Source organism: Homo sapiens, chromosome 1 (genome assembly GCF_000001405.40).
Source record: "Homo sapiens chromosome 1, GRCh38.p14 Primary Assembly".
Lineage (NCBI taxonomy): Eukaryota > Metazoa > Chordata > Mammalia > Primates > Hominidae > Homo > Homo sapiens.
The window spans coordinates 150468682-150485930 of record NC_000001.11 but is presented as its reverse complement, the minus strand read 5'-3'; the positions used below and the strand labels follow the sequence as shown (position 1 = coordinate 150485930).

Genomic DNA, 17249 nt, shown 5'->3' with positions numbered 1-17249 from the left:
TTTTTTTTTTTTGAGATGGAGTTTCACTCTTGTTGCCCAGGCTGGAGTGCAGTGGCGTGATCTCGGCTTACCGCAACCTCCGCCTCCCCAGGTTCAAGCGCTTCTCCTGCCTCAGCCTCCCGAGTAGCTGGGATTACAGGCATGTGCCACCCCAGGCCCAGCTAATTTTGTATTTTTAGTAGAGACAGGGTTTCTCCATGTTGGTCAGGCTGGTCCCGAACTCCCAGCATCAGGTGATCCGCCTGCCTCAGCCTCCCAAAGTGCTGGGATTACAGGCGTGAGCCACCATGCCCGGCCGAGACCTTTTAATCTGACAGATGAGGAATTTAAGGTCAAACAGCAAGTGCTGATGGTGATTTCTGAATCCAAGCTTGGTTTTCTTTTACCACACCATGCTTTCTCTAGAAGAGTTTGCTCCCAGTATACTCCCCCATCACCTCAGAAAGAGGTGCCTGACTAGAATTTTAGCTCTCTGCTCCCTACATAAGCCCTTTGCCTCTAATTCCTATCCCAGCTCTCAACTTCCTTTATCCTTTCTCTTCCCTCTCCCTGATACATCTAGGACACAGGACTAGGTAAATTTCATCAAATTTACTCAGTAAATATGGGAACATGGTCAGATTTGTAGTAAAGTATGAAGGGAAACTGACTTGGGGGTAGCCATCAGGCTGTCAGTAATTCTCATTAGTCCCCTCACCTGGAGGTGGGGATGGTTAGAGTTGGTTCTGAAGTTTCAATGGTGATAGAATCAAGGGTTGTAGAGGAAGAGGTGTCAGAAAAAGCAGTTTAATCAAGGTTTCCGGAGAGACCAGGTTTCCCGGGCAGGGCAGTTGATCTGAGTCACAGGAGCCTCCATGGATCTTGGGTCCATCTTCTGGTAGACACCCTGAAATACAAAGAGAAAGAGACAAGAGTGTGGGAGAGGAAGATAACTTGTGTGTGTGTGGTTTGGAGAAGGTAGTTAAGAATTTTTAAATGGCATTCAGAAAGGGTGGCAACAGGCAGAATTCTTCTCATGCCTCTGCACCAAAAGGGGAAAGGTGTATTGCAGGCAACAAAATGGTAGGTGCCCAATAATTATTGAATCAAGTATGTACCAATCACGGTATTGATTTGATGCTCTCATTTACTAACTGCTTACTGTGTGCAATGCAGTGAGCTGGGTGCTGAGGGGATGCCGATCAATCAACTACCACATCATCACCTATGTAACTTGTGTTGCAGTGGAGGAAGGAAGGAATGTTGAGTTATTCCATCCGCCCTCTGTAAGAAGCAAGCAAGCAAGTAAGCAAGTGCAAGAGCAAGCTAAGGCCAATTCATGAGTTACTGGTTCTTCTACAACTTCGGACTTGTGACTAGCATATGCCTCAGTATTGGGGAATTTTAATCCATTAGTCAGCCTAGGAAACATCTATTCTTTTTTTTTTTTTTTTTTTTTTTTTTGAGGTGAAGTCTTGCTCTGTTGCCCGGCTGGAGTGCAGTGGCATGATCTTGGCTCACTGCAACCTCCGCCTCCTGGGTTCAAGTGATCCTCCTGCCTCAGCTTCCCCAGTAGCTGGGATTACAGGTGTACGCCACCACACCCAGCTAATTTTTTTTGAGTCAGAGTCTTGCTCTGTCGCCGAGGCTGGAGTGCAGTGGCGCTATCTTGGCTCACTGCAACCTCTGCCTCCCGGGTTCAAGTGATTCTTCTGCCTCAGCCTCCTGAGTAGCTGGGATTACAGGTGCGCGCCACCACGCTCGGCTAATTTTTGTATTTTTAGTAGAGACAGGGTTTCACCATGTCAGGCTGGTCTCGAACTCCTGACCTCGTGATCCGACCACCTTGGCCTCCCAAAGTGCTGAGATTACAGGCGTGAGCCACTGTGCCCGGCCTGTTTTTTGTTTTTTGAGATGGAGTTTCACTCTTGTTGCTCAGGCTGGAGTGCAATGGCACGATCTTGGCTCACTGCAACCTCCGACTCCCAGATTCAATCGATTCTCCTGCCTCAGCCTCCCGAGTAGCTGGGATTACAGGTGCCCGCCACCACACCTGGCTATTTTTTTGTATTTTTAGTAGAGATGGGGTTTCACAATGTTGGCCAGGCTGGTCTTGAACTCCTGACCTCAGGTGATCCACCTGCCTTGGCCTCCCAAAGTGCTGCGTTTACAGGCGTGAGCCACCATGCCTGGCTTGAAACATCTATTCTTAAAACTTGGGCTGTTGCCCCTCCACCCTAGACTACTACTGAACACCCGGTGCTATGCCTTCACTATTTCACCTAATTCCTAAAACAACTATGTCAAGTATACTCCCTTTAAAACAGGAAAATGATTCTCAAAGAAGTAAAGCCCCCAGTCTATCTGAATGCAAAGCCCTTGTTGTTTATGCTATGCCATACTGCCTCTCAGGGACCAGATTGGTCATAATGTGTCAGGTTATAAGATTCTGATACTTGTGGCCAAATAGGCCTTTGATATAGGGTAAAAGAGGTGGGTCCAATAGAAAGCCAAGAAAAGAGGCGTCTTCCGACTTTTCTCTACCAGATTAAGGTTAAGGAAAAAAGTGTGCACAAAATAAAGCTAGATTTCCACAGAAGTGCAGGAAAAAGGGAATCCACAGTGAAGGGTGTCCTAGGCCCTTAGTAAAATTTTAGGAAATTCTCAGCTTAACTCCACTTTTGGAATAGAAATTCCAAGGTGACTAGAGTCCTAGTTCAGAAGGTATTGTTTTTATAGCTTTAAACTACATGTAACTTTAAACTACATGTAAATATTTTCCACTTGTCCTCAGGATCAGCACATACCTCCAAATCTATCTTACTTCTTAGAAGCACTAAAGATGTAGAAAGTATATTTGGCTGGGTGTGGTGGCTCACGCCTGTAATCCCAACACTGGAGGCTGAGGCAGGCGGATTGCTTGAGTCCAGGAGTTCGACAACAGCCTGGACAACATAGTGAGACCCCCATCTCTACAAAAAATAAAAAATTAGCTGGGCATGGTGGTATGTGCCTTGGGAGGCTAAGGTGGGAAGATTGCTTGAGCCCAGGAGATCCAGTGCAGTGAGGCGTGATTGCACCACTGTACTGCAACCTGGGCAACAGAATGATACCCTGTCTCAAAAAAAAAAAAAAAAAAAAAAAAAAAAGAGAAGGCAGAGGCCGGGCACAGTGGCTCATGCCTGTAATCCCAGCACTTTGGGAGGCCGAGGCGGGTGGATCACGAGGTCAGGAGATCGAGACCACCCTGGCTAACATGGTGAAACCCCGTCTCTACTAAAAATACAAAAAATTAGCCGGGCGTGGCAGCGTGCGCCTGTAGTCCCACCTACTCGGGAGCTGAGGCAGGAGAATGGCGTGAACCCGGGAGGCGGAGCTTGCAGTGAGCCGAGATCGCACCACTGCACTCCAGCCTGGGCAACACAGCAAGACTCCGTCTCAAAAAAAAAAAAAAAAAAAAAAGAGAAGGCTGGATGCAGTGGCTCACGCCTGTAATCTCAGCATTTGGGAGGCTGAGGCAGGTGGATCTGAGGTCAGGAGTTTGAGATCAGCGTGGCCAACATAGTGAAAGCCCGTCTTTACTAAAAATACAAAAATTAGCCAGGCGCGGTGGCTCACGCCTGTAATCCCAGCACTTTGGAAGGCTGAGGCGGGCAGATCACCTGAGGTCGGGAGTTCGAGACCAGCCTGACCAACATGGAGACACCCCGTCTCTACCAAAAATACACAATTAGCCAGGTGTGGTGGCACATGCCTGTAATCCCAGCTACTTGGGAGGCTGAGGCAGGAGAATGGCGTGAACCCGGGAGGCGGAGCTTGCAGTGAGCCGAGATTGCGCCACCGCACTCCAGCCTGGGTGACAGAGAGAGACTCTGTCTCAAAAAAAAAAAAAAAAAAAAAAAAAAAAAAGCCTGGCGTGGTGGCGCATGCCTGTAGTCCTAGCTACTTGGGAGGCTGAGGTGGGAGAATCACTTGAACCCCAGAGGCAGAGATTGCAGTGAGCCGAGATCGTGTCACTGCACTCCAGCCTGGGCAACCAAACAAGAATCCGTCTCAAAGGAAAAAAAAAAGATATTAGAGGTTAAAAAAAAAGGAATAAGGTAAAATATATAAAGAAAGGATTATGAGGCCGGGTGTGGTGGCTCATACCCGTAATCCCAGCACTTTGGGAGGGTGAGGTGAGCAGATCACTTGAGGTCAGGAGTTCAAGACCAGCCTGGCCAACATGGTGAAACCCATCTCTACTAAAAACACAAAAAATTAGTTGGGCATGGTGGTGCACGCTTGTAGTCCCAGCTATTCGGGAGGCTGAGGCGGGAGAATCGCTTGAACCTGGGAGGTGGAGGTTGCAAGGAATTAAGATCATGCCACTGCACTCCAACCTGGGAGACAGAACAAGACTCCGTCTCAAAAAAAAAAAAAAAAAAAGAAAAAAAAAAAGAAAGAAAAGAAAGGATTATGTCATTGCTAACAAAAACCTTTGGGGCCCAGAGAAGTAGCCAAGTGGCTAAAGGCACAAGTGGTAGGGAAGTTAGGTTTATTTTTTAAAAAATAATTCCCTAGTAATGTAAGTGGAAGATCTGGGATGGGGCCAATCTTTAACTTTGCTTTAAAATGCCATCATAGGCTGGGCATGGTGCCCCACACCTATAATCCCAGCACTTTGGGAAGCCAAGGCAGAGGACCGTTTGAACCCAGGAATTCAAGACCAGCCTGGATAACATAGTGAGATCCCATCTCTACAAAAATAAAAAAAATTAGCTGGGCATGGTGGTGCATGCCTGTAGTCCCAGCTACTCAGGAGGCTGAGGTGAGAGTTGCTTCAGCCCAGGAGTTGGGTTACAGTGAGCTATGATTATGACACTGCACTCCAGCATGTACAACAGAGTGAGGCCCCCGTCTCTAAAAATAAAATAAAAGGGCTGGGCATGGTGGCTCATGCCTGTAATCCCAGCACTTTGGGAGGCCAAGGCGGGTGGATCACTTGAGGCCAGGAGTTTGAGGCTAGCCTGGCCAACATGGCGAAACACCGTCTCTACTAAAAATACAAAAATTCGCTGGGCGTGGTGGTGGGCACCTGTAATCCCAGCTACTTGGGAGGCTGAGGCAGAATTGCTTGAACCAGGAGGTGGAGGTTGCAGTGAGCCGAGATCGCGCCATTGCACTCCAGTCTGGGTGACAAGAGTGAAACTCCATCTCAAAATTAATAAAATAAAATAAAATAAAATAAAATCAGGCCGGGCACAGTGGCTCACGCCTGTAATCCCAGCAGTTTGGGAGGCCGAGGTGGGTGGATCACCTGAGGTCAGGAGTTCTAGACCAGCGTGACCAACATGGTAAAACCCTGTCTCTACTAAATAATAATAAAAAAAAAAATTAGCCAGGCATGGTGGCACATGCCTATAATCCCAGCTACTTGGGAGACTGAGGCAGGAGAATCATTTGTACCTGGGAGGCAGAGGTTGCAGTGAGCCTAGATTTCGCCATTGCACTCCAGCCTGGGCAAAAAAGAATGATACTCCGTCTCAAAAAATAAAATAAATAAAATAAAAATAAAATCAATAAAATAAAATGCCACAATGTGTCCGGGAACAGTGCCTCATGTCTGTAATCCCAGCATTTTGGGAGGCCAAGGCAGGAGGACTGCTTGAGCCCAGGAGTTTATGACCAACCTGGGCAACAAAGCATGACCCTGTCTCTATTAAAAAAAAAAAAGAAAAGCCACAATGGGAGAGAATGTTCAGCCACATTTGCTGAATGAGTAAAGAGGTAAAAGCTTTCTGTCAGGGGCATGGATAAATTGAACTTTGACTTTGAAAACAAACCCTTGGGCTCACCTAAAATCTCTACTAAGATTTCCCTTCCCAGAACATCTCTTGGGGCTGTAGAAGAAAAACAAGCAGACACTCCCACCCCAGCTCTTACACAACTGATATGTCAGGTCAGGGCAAAAAGAGGAGATCCGCCAAACACAGGAGCTAGTCTAGGGTAGGGATGTGTCCATTTAGGTTCCACGCTAAAGTAAAAAACAAAGGGAAGGACAAAGTACTCTAAAAGAAGGTCCTAGATAACATCTGTAGAAGGAAATACAGGTTGAGTATCCTTATTTGAAATATTTGGGACCAAAAGTGTCTGATTTTGAATCTTTTCAGATTTTGGAATATTTGCATTATACTTACTGCTTGAGCATCCCTAATCTGAAAATCCGAAATCCTCCAATGAGCATTTCCTTTGAGTGTCATTTTCGTGCTCAGATTTTGGACTTTGGATTTGGGATGCTCAACCTGCATACAACTGAGGCTCACTTCTAAATAATAAAGATTTCAAATCATTTCCTAATCACTATTGCCCCTGGCAATGATTGACTATCTTCAGTGTTGTCTCATGTAGGTGCAAAGGACTGTTAGCCAGGGAGGAGGGAGAAACAGAGGAAAGGGATGCTGTCGGTCTCCTTTCTACCCATTCCAACTGAAACACCCCAAGAAAAATGTAGCAAGTTTCAAGTCCTTTTCTCTCCTCTCCCACAAATTATGTGGCAAAGGATATGAGTAATTCTCGAAAATAAGGGGACACAATGGGGATGAGGAAGGAAGATCGCTGGAATATCCAATTTACCATGACCCTGAACATGTCCAGGGTAGACTGGTTTAGCCAACTCTCAAGTCAAACACAAAAACCTGCAACCTGCATTTGTGTTTTCCTTTTGAGACGGCGTCTCACTCTGTCACCCAGGCTGGAGTGCAATGGCACAATCTTGGCTCACTGCAACCTCTGCTTCCCGGGTTCAAGCGATTCTCCTGCCTCAGCCTCCCAAGTAGCTGGGATTACAGGTGCGTGCCACCATGCCCAGCTAATGTCCCCCCCTCCCCCCACTCCGAGACAGAGTCTTGCTCTGTCACCCAGGCTGGAATGCAGTGGTGCGATCTTGCCTCACTGCAACCTCCGCCTCCCAGGTTTAGGCGATTCTCCTGCCTCAGCCTCCTGAGTAGCTGGGATTACAGGCGCGTGCCACCACGCCCAGCTAATTTTTGTATTTTTAGTAGAGATGGGGTTTCACCATATTGGCCAGGCTGGTCTCAAACTCCTGACCTCGTGATCCGCCTGCCTTGGCCTCTCAAAGTGCTGGGATTACAGGCGTGAGCCACCACGCCTGGCCCTAATTTTTGTATTTTTAGTAGACAGGGCTTTGTCATATTGTCCAGGTTGGTCTTGAACTCCTGATCTCAAGCGATCTGCCCGCCTTAGCCTCCCTAAGTGCTGGGATTACAAGCGTGAGCCACCACGCCTAGTCTGTATTTGTGTTTCCTCAGTTGGCACTGAAGAATTCACTAGCCCCTCCACCCATATCTGTATTCTCAATTTTTGATTCTTCCCTAGGTGTGAACAAAGGATAGAAAAACGTAACATTTAAAAAAGGAAATGTACAGTTGGCTCTGTCTGGGGGTTCTGCATCTATGGATTCGACCAACCACAAAAGTATTCAGGAAAAGGTAATAAAAAAATTAAAAGTAACACAAATTTCAAAACATACTGTATACAACTATGTACATAGCACTCACATTGTATTAGGTATTAGTAATCTAGAGATGATTTAAAATTTACTGGATGATGTGTGTAGGTTATATGCAAATACTATGCCATTGTATGTAGGGGACTTGAGCATCTGTGGATTTTGGTATCCATGGGGGTCCTGGAACCTGGTATCCTTCATGGATACCGAGGAGGGTTGACTGTAACTGCAATGATCAACTTTTACATAGATGTTGGCCTTCTTATCCTCTTCCCCTCAAACTTGTAACTAAGCAAAGGCTTCTCCTTTCTTTCCCCAGCAATTAATTAAAAGTAACTGATAGTTTTACACTGCACTTGCTTCTTTGCTTTAGAGTGCTTCTATTTCCTTCTACATGGGGAAGACAGAACAGGATGTTTACTTAAGGGCCAATATCTCTCTTACTGATGACCCTCTCGTAGCCTTGCCTATGCAGCCTCAGTGAGTTATTACTTAGCAATTGTGAACAGCAGCTGACCGGACTTGTCCATACAGTTACTCATAAACAAGTATGAGAAACGCCCCAATACCCCAAAACCCATTCTGATTGTGTTTGCATTGCTACGTCTACATACATGAAGGAATAACTCATCCCTGCTACACAAGATTGGCTTACATTAAAAAAAAAAATTAGGCAGAGGAAATTATGAATAACATGCCCAGAAAACCTTATGAGGAAGTCTCAAAGCTGTTGCTTCTTTAGGGGTAGATATAGAAATCAGGTGGGCAAGTCAAGGTCCCAAGAGACAAGGAAAAAAAGGGTGAGCCAGATTCCAGTACAGTGGTACACCCTACCTGCTGGGTGTGTTCCCAGGCCACTGCTATTTAAGTGTCTGGTGACACATGTACGTACCTTCACATAAGCAAGGCTGCTATTTAGAGCCTTCTACCCTGCCAGTGACCCAGGCCTGGCCCAGATGCAGTGACTATCCCTCTTTACCCCTTACAGCCAGCATTCCAACCCAGCCTCACTGGGTTATGAACAAGGGATGGGGTAAGACAGAAGGGTTAAGTGTGGCTTCTGCACAACAGATTGCCAATATGCAGTAAGGGCAGATGTGGGCAAATAATTGGCCAGAAGGATCCCTGCTACCACCCCAAACCCCCAATTCTATGCTTGCTTTAAAAATGCTTCTTGGCTCACAGTTGCACAACCTTTTGAAGACATGCACAAAAAATTATTAATACAGTATATCCCACTTCACCAACCACTCCCTGAACATCTAGAACTCACCCGACCCATTATCCCTTTCCAAAATTCAATTACACAAAGGATCAAACAGAAAACCCACAAGGCCATAAAGATCTTAAGAGGCTCAGATTGCCTTCAGTGACATTAAGTGCAGAAGTCAAAGGGGACATCTGGAAAAGATCAACAGGAGGGGAAAAGTCAACCACACAACAAAGGAAACCATACTTTATTAAACTGGAAAACAAAATAATGGGGACAAAGGGATTAAAAAAAAAAGGAACGTCTGGAAGAGAGTAAAGTGCAAGTGGTTACGAAGTGGGTGGTCTGTGGTATCTCTGTGTGTGCCTGAGAAATGTGTGGGCGCACACACCACTACTCCCACCCCCATACCCTTGGACCAAAAGCCAATACAACCATATCTTCTGAGATATATCCAGGCTTTTCCTTCTGCATTCTCTAGTTGGTTTCACCTTCGGCCCTGGACAGTCAGGCTGGGTCTTTGCTAGAGAAAACTTAGGTTTTCCAACCACAGGCCTGCTCCACAAAGCAGCGGTTTCAGCTCCTGAGAAGTTCCCTCCTATTTGCACTCACTAGGAAGCCAGGGGCCCCTGGTCCAAGCCCGTCTCAAAGAAAAATGTCAAACCTTTCAAACTAGTTATTTTATTAAACGATATTAACACACATTTCAAAAGGATTTCATTGTTGTTGCTTCTAAAGCATGTACTTGTTTTGTTTTCCACACCGAACACGTGAGAATATCAATCCAACATATCTATTTTAGATCTTAACAGGCGCCCCCGCCCACTTAAAAAAAATAGTGGGGGAACTGGGGAAAGCAGTAATTTACAGCGGCTTCAAAACAGTAACAGCTGAAGCTCAATTCTGCAGGAACCGGTAACTTCAGGATTGAGAGTGAATATCCTGCCATTAGGAAGTTTATCGTATTCACATTATCTCGATAGGTTTGCTGGACCCATATATATCACAAACATTTTATTCCTGGTATTGGAAAGTATAAAAGTCCTATTCTCTGCTTATTTTCCCCTCCCTGGAATCAAACCAAATTCTATTTACTCTCAACTTTTGAGAGGGTAGAGGGGAGCAGGGAGAGAGCTCTCATCTAAGCTGACTGAAGAGTAAACTCTTTCAAAATACTTAAGGACCCTATTTCTGAACTGTATCACTGAACTTTAAGTGGTACTAGTGTATTCACAACCCCTACCAATTCTCTGTCTGTGATTTTACAGTGAGTACCAAGGACCTTACAACTTCTCACATTCTGCTTCCATATGAATCATGTCCTTGCTAAGACACACTATGTTATGCTTTCTTTAAAAAATATCTTGTTTATTTGTTTAAACTCAGGTTGAAATACAAAAGTCAGAGCATGGTCACGGAGTTTTAAATCACAGACACAGAAAGAATAAAACCCCTTTCTTTCACGTTATGAATACCAGAACTGTCTTTTCTGTTTCACTATTTATCACATATATACACACTGTCATCTTCATTTACTGATGTAAATGTAAATTTTAAGATTTCCTTAAAATTAATAGCTGACAGTCTCATACAAATCCTCACTTCCATCCTAAAACAAACATATTGAGGATTTTGTGGCTTAAAAAACAAAAAAGTACCCCACAAAAACCCAACTCCTTAAAAGCCCACCTTCGAAACTGTCCAACAAAGTCTTCCTTTCATGTATTAACCATCATACTTTTGAGGACAATTATCCCGCCCCAACGTTCAGGAAGCCACTTTCCTGACATCCCCACATTTTCTGATAAAAATTAAATGGTCAGAGAGCCTTATCAAGTAAACACTACTTTTAGCTTAAACAAGAGCAGCAAAGAGAATTCACATTCTTTTATTCTAGAATGAAAAACATCCCATTTAATTTCTGCAAAAAAAAAACCTATTTCAATTTTGAAAGTCAAATATCATTTCCCCACCTCCCACCCCATTTTCTCTTATGCTTTTCCCTAACAAATGTCTTAGGACTCAATATAACTATACTTTCTTTTCTTTGCTACACTACATACCCCATCCCACACGTAAGGTCATGGTATCATGCATTTTTGTGGGGAGAGCTACAGGGCAGAGAGGGTCGAGGAAAGAAAGAACAGTTGGCTTAAGACCAGACAGGCATTAAGAAGATGAATGACCTGCAGCATCCTAACCCCAGAACACATGGCGAGCCCAAATAAATAACAGAATAAATTACGCAAAAACTCCCAAATCATGATGTGCACCTGGTTTATGCTGCTCTTTCTCTGAAAAGTTCATTCTGAGAGAATCATTTTCTGTCACTACATTGCCCACCCTCCCCCATCTTTAATATTCTACTGGAGGAAAAAGCAACCCCATACTTCCTATAGTTAGTTCTATACTAACTTGGAAGAAAATATGAAACTTGCCAGAATTCTCTGGAAAACTAAACACATACTGTTTTACTCATCTAGCTGGAGATTATCAGTTGAGTATGCCTTGGGGTAAGACACTAAATTAAAAAAAAATTGTAGTAAAGCAACATTTACTTTTCAGTGTCCCTAGATATAAAGATATAAACACTCAAAGTACAGTGATTGTCTATTTCCCAAGTACTAGATGTAGAAATACAAACAAGTCTTTCAGTCCAGGGAGAAGGAAAGCACTTATCTTGCATGTAAAACAACTAAGGGCAGAAATGGTCTTTATTTCCTATTGGGAGCGAGAGGTGGGGGTAAGACTTGAGCCTTGAAATGGGATAGACACATGTGTATAATATAAAGGAAAATGCTACTGAATCTCCTCCTTTAAAATATCAAGAATAGGGGTGAATAACACGACTGAGGCAAGGGGAAAAGGAAGATAAAGACAAATATTTCTTTCTTTAATAGTTAACCTTTGTTGAAAACCACCAATAAATATCACTTACATTAGGGAGGCACCATGGTAAAATTAATGTCTACTTCTTATATTTAAAAATGCAGGGATAATATTTCTGTTGCACCTTTGTATCAATAGTCAACTGTAGTGACTGTCTTTCTGGCCACAGCAGAAGAAAAACTGAGGGAGATAAAGTCAAAAAGGAAAAGCAAGAGGCATGAGCTTGGTGCAAGACATGTGAAACTACCTTGAAAACATTTCCTATTCTCTTGTTTACAAAAAAACAGGCAGGTCACATCACACCATTAATGCTTCCTTTCCTTATTTTACATACTGTAGTCACTCCTTATTTTAACCTTGAGGCTGATTAAAAAAAGATTTTAGGAGAAGGGTAAAGAACTAAACTTCAACATGCCTTTAAAAACAAAACAAATAAACCTGACAGGTTCAAGGTCTCTCACATTTCCTCCCTTGCAACATCTCTTGGCTGTTAGCAGGACACAGATACACAGGGAAGGGAGCCGAGCTGGCTACAGCAGTTACTAAGCTGCCGAGAGAGGGGACGGGAATCCTTCCATTGACTACTCGATAAGCCAAGCCCAAAATAACATCCCAACATTGCACATGTGGTTATCTGTACTGATGGAAGTTTTATTTCAAATGTAATAATACTCTTCAATAGATGGGGTAAAATAAAGATTGTTTTCCTCCCCACTCCCCAACCCCCCAGCCAAATGAAATGGCTTTGGTTGTGTTTCTTTACTTTTTTTTTTTTTTTTTTTTTTTAATACAAACAACTTGGGGAAGGTAGATAAGTGCAATGGGAGGGAGGATTGAATTGAATAGTAAAACGTAAGCGTATGTGATTTCTTACTTTGGAAGAGAGGCCCTTTGTTATAATAAAAAAAAAATCGAGAAAGAGAAAACAAATAAAAACAACAACAATAAACCAAACTCCTACTTCCAATGTTCTCTAGACTGTTCAAAATGCCTTTCCCTTGGTTTCCATCAGTACCTGGGAGGGAAGAATGGGCGTTTTGGTGCAAAGAACGGAGGGCCCCTAGCAAAAGGTGGCCTGGGTCTCTTTAAACTGTGAAATGGGTCTCTGCTGAGAAAAGGTTCCCTAGGCCGAAAGTCTGGCCGGGGACTCCGTAAGATTATACCACTCCGGCTGATGGTGTCTCTGTGTGAGGGACCCAAGGGGGGGCCACTGCTGCTGTTGCTGCCTCCCCCACCTCCTCCTCCATGGGGTGGGCCCAGGTGTTCCAGAGAATGGGAGGGTAGGGTGAGGCTCTCTCGTACACGGCTAAGGCCAGGGCCGTTGAGGTCCCGTTGGGTGGGGCCCCCGTGGTCCCTGGGTCCTGGGAGTACCCCAAAATGCTCAGCCAGGGTCCCTTGAAGGAGGGAACTATGGTCCTTGGGAAATACTGCCACAGCCCCTGCCACTCCGTGCTCTGCCAGTGGTGGGGCTGGGAAGGGTACAACTCCAGAGTGGTCAACAGGGGGTGGAGGAGGGGGTGGAGTAGAAAAGGGGACACCACTCCCACCACTGCTGCTATGTTCCCCAGGAGGGGGAGGAGGAGGTGGGGTAGGGAAAGGAATTCCACTGTGCTCTCCAGGAGGAGGGGGTGGGGCAGCATGGGCCAGGGCTGCCTCCTTTGTGAAGGGGTTCGAAAGATCCACAGAGGGTAGATGAGTGGGTGCATCTCGAGAGAAGATACCACCATGATCCTTAGGAGGGACAGGTGGGGCAGATGATGGCCCCACTGGCTCTCTCTGGAAGGGTGTCCCATGTTCCAAGGGGGATGGGGGAAGATGATGCTCAAATGTTGAGTTGAAACTGTTGGAACGAAAGCTGCCGACACTCTCCTGAAATTGAGGTGCCCGTTCCTTGTATGGTGCTGTTTTAAAGCCAGTGAGGCCTCCGCTGCCCCCACCCCCAAGGGATGCCAACTCAGAGGCACTTGAAGGGCCATTGTCAAAAGAGCTACCTGATGTGCTCAGATCAAACCAACCCACCCTTGAAGCCTCACGCCCATGTCCTCTATTTCCCTTCCCAGGAACTCGGATGGACTCTACGGTCTGGATCGGCTCCCCTGACATCCTCCTATTGGATGCACTGTGATAACCCAAGGTTTCTATAGGGGCCCCCTTTTCTTCTGTGCTATCAGGCAAGTCTAAGCAGGAGGAGGAGACGCGGGTTTCTATGCGGTAGTGCTCTTCTTGTTGCTGCTGATCAGTGGCGGTCAAGCTGGGTTGGGTGAGGTTTGAGAGACTGACACCATCACTTGGAGTGCCCTTGCTGGGAGCCTGGCCAAAATGCTTATCATCTGAGGGCTTACGTGAGGCGTTTTTAAGCATATTCTTAAATTCAATCGTCGACGTGGTGGAAATGGTGGAGGCCAGGACTTTCTCCACGCCTGACGTGGGTGGGTGACCCGTGGGAGCGGCAAGGGTGTTCTGCGGAGAGAAAAGGGAACGATGTGGGACTGGGTGAGGAGAGTCTGGGTACTGCTTCTGTGGCAAACTGAGATGCCCAGTGGTAGATTGAGACAAGCTATTGTGGTTGGAGTCAGGGGTGAAAAATGAATCATTCTTACTCGGTGATGGTGACCGGTCAGACCCAGGTTCATTCCCTCTTACGCTGAAGGCACCAAATAGCCCAGGGGAAGATGAGAGACGGTCACAGTTCTCACTAGAGTCCAGGAGGGCCCTTACAGATGGAGGGAAGGCAGACTTTACCCCAAATTCTTGGGCTCTGTGGCTATAACTGGACAGAATTGGCTGGTACTCGGTGGTATCAGACAGCTTGCTTGATTTCAGGATAGATTTGGCTGGTTTCTTCTCTAGGTTCATCATGGCAGAGGGTGGAGGCCCTGAATACTCAAAATCTCGGTAATCCTCATCTTCTTGGAAAGAAGTATCTGGGTAGAACTTTTCCTGTGAAGAGTCCATCAGGGAAGATGGTCTCTCCATTCCATCAGAAGGCTGCTTATAGGGAGATTCACTGCCCAGACCAAAGGGTCGATATGTAGATACAGAATTGGAGAGCTCTCGGGGGTAGCTTTCATCTCTCCCAGGGGGTGGTGATCTTGTACTGCTGGGTGTTGAGGAACCAGGGCTAATGATCTTAGAAAGCAGGGACATAGTATCTACACTGCTGGATGTGGGCTTGTCCATCATCTCATCCTGGGTGGGTGTCCCACTCCGTTCATCCCGTACAGGGGTTCCATCAATGTTGTCGATTGAGGTGCTAGTAGGGCCACGCTGGAAGTCTGAGGGATGGCTCTCTGATGGGGCGCTGGACCCCAAACTGCTCAGGATTGGGATGTTTAAGTTTAAGCCACTGAAACCAGGATTACCTTTTAAGAAGTTGTGAATCTTCATTTCCAGGCTTGGGGAGGTGGACTCTGACTCCAGCTTTGGCTTGGAGACCTCTGAAGATTGGCAGATGGTAACTTCAGTAGGTGGGGCAGCAGGGCTAGTATTGTGGGTAGCTGTAAACCCCAAAGAGTTGGAAGGTAGTTTAAAAGTAGTGCTTGGGAGCCCTGGGCTTTGCCCAATTGAGGCCTTGCTGGCTGAAGTTGAAGAGACTTCAGAAGTTGATGAGTTAGGAGAATAGTTGAAGCTTTTGGGAATAAAAGGTTGGGCACTGGAGGGCAGATTTCTTCCCTTTATGGTAGAGACTGTGGTGTTGGCAGGGGAGGCTGAAGTGCTCTGTGAGGCAGCTTCACTGGCTGGAACTGGGTTCCCAGTAACACTCTGAAGTAAAGATGACAGGCCTGTAGAAACAAAGATTAGAGGGGTTAAAAAGAACAACTCCCTATCATACAATGCAAACAATGTAGGCTAATCAGATACTCTCATTCATTTTGGTGGGAACCAGATAGACAAAGTGTAAGGCCAAAAGGAATCCAGACCAAACAAGCAATGGCTAAATGTCACAGAAAATACAGGGCCTATTTTATCAATAAAGAGCAAATCACTGAAATGTTTCCAGTACAGTCCAGAAATCAGCCCAACATGGCACAATAAAAGGCAACAGGAAGGGGGAGATTTTAATGTCAGAATCATTCATAGTTTAAGTTAGGCAAAGCAGGAAAAGAAAGGAGGCAAAGTTATTCTTAAAACAACACTTTAAGCCAGTATTTCTTAATGTTTGATCTGTGGAAGTGTTTCTCTAAATGCAAACAGATCTGTTCTACCTTTCCTGTCCAACCTTCAAACCAACCTTCAACCTTCAAACTTATTATCTCTAATAAGTTAATATACATTGTTATTTTCAAGCGGGAGACAGGCAAATGCAAATTTCAGAAACTTATCTGAACAGCAAACACCTTTTTCAAGAAGCACCTCTTGGTAGACTGTTGTTACTTTTTGAAAAACAATGCTTTCAACCATCCGTTTTGGTTGTAAAATGTAGCTATAACAAACATACACCACAAAGACTTACAAAGACAGACCACCAGGGACACTGGTCCTTTCACAAGAAAACACACAATCCCCATTTTATAGTGTGGAAAATCCAAGGATTATTTAGTCCAGATTGACAATGATGGAATTTAACTGTGTTCACTGACAGTCAAAACTTTCTCAGAAGCACTGAGAAAGAATTCTTTGGGGCAAAGGCTGAAGTTCAACAAAGCAAACTGCTCCTGTAGAAAATTTTTTAGAAAAATATTTGACAAAAAGATAACAGAAGGTTCTATAAATTCAATCATATTTTTAAAAATTTACCCAATTTCTGGTCACAAATGAAGACTTTTGGCTGGGCACGGTGGCTCATGCCTGTAATCCTAGCATTTTGGGCAGCAGAGGCAGGAGGATGGCTTGAGGCCAGGAGTTTGAGACCAGCCTGGGAAACACAGAGAGACTCTGTCTCTAAAAAAAATTTAAAAATCAGCTGGGCATGATGGTGCATGCCTGTAGTCCTAGCTACTCAGGAGGCTGAGGCTGGAGAATCACTTGTGCCCAGTTCAAGGTTACAGTAAACTAACTATGACTCTGCCACTGCACACCAGCCTGGGTGGCAAAGTGAGTCTCTGTATTTAAAAATAAATTAATTAAAAAAATTTTTAATATACATTTCACCCAAATTTATAGCTTTTAGTCACTGAATACACTAACATTGTTCCTTAGTAATTATATGATTAAAGAAAATACTTCATGTGATATTTCAATTAACATTTCTTCAAAATTTCAATTTTAACCCATATTCTAACAGATTTGGCCTAAAGAATTTCAAGTCCCCTCCATCCTTGTAACATTTTAAAGCCATTTATTTCTAAATAATGTTGGATGGTCTTTATTGTTATCCAATATTCAGTAATATCCAAACAACTGAAATAATGTTTACTTTAGTTATGATCCTTCTGAAGAAAAAAAAAAATCGGCATGTTTCATTCCAAAAAAAGTTCCCTAGCCACATAATTCATCCCTACTAATAGTTTCCTTTTTTTTTTTCAAGAGACAGGCTCTTGCTCTGTCACCCAGGCTGGAGTGCAGTGGTGCGATCATAGCTCACTGTAACCTCAACCTCTTGGGCTCAAAAGATTTATCTGCCTTAGCTTCCTGAGTAGCTGGGACCACAGGTGTACATCACTATGCCCAGCTAACTTTTTTATTTTTAGTAGAGACAAGGTCTCACCATGTTGCGCAGGC

The 17249-nt window shown here is 44.7% G+C and overlaps 1 protein-coding gene and 1 long non-coding RNA gene across 17 annotated transcripts in view, besides 1 other annotated feature; both read right to left on the bottom strand.

The window, feature by feature from the left end:
- Positions 577-1420, bottom strand: LOC124904416 (uncharacterized). Its single transcript, XR_007066600.1, has 2 exons — positions 1142-1420; positions 577-886 (listed from the first exon to the last, which is right to left on the bottom strand). It is a non-coding gene; the product is annotated as an uncharacterized LOC124904416 (long non-coding RNA).
- The window catches only part of RPRD2 (regulation of nuclear pre-mRNA domain containing 2), a 112420-nt gene continuing 104535 nt past the window's right edge, over positions 9365-17249 (bottom strand). For 7 of the 16 annotated variants that reach the window (NM_001387124.1, NM_001387123.1, NM_001387121.1 and 4 more), the window contains one exon: positions 9365-15370. In NM_001387124.1, the coding sequence (NP_001374053.1) occupies positions 12597-15370 (2774 nt within the window). In that variant the 3' untranslated portion in view covers positions 9365-12596. The remainder of the gene's footprint in view (positions 15371-17249) is intronic. The other 9 variants (NM_001387122.1, NM_001387120.1, NM_001387117.1 and 6 more) reach the window with 2 other exon arrangements.
- Positions 12935-13447: an enhancer, noted in NCBI's record as "H3K4me1 hESC enhancer chr1:150444960-150445472 (GRCh37/hg19 assembly coordinates)". NCBI's record gives its function as "activates a minimal SCP1, AML or CMV promoter by ChIP-STARR-seq in primed H9 embryonic stem cells {active_cell/tissue: H9 hESC(primed)}" and the evidence as "EXISTENCE:reporter gene assay evidence [ECO:0000049][PMID:30033119]".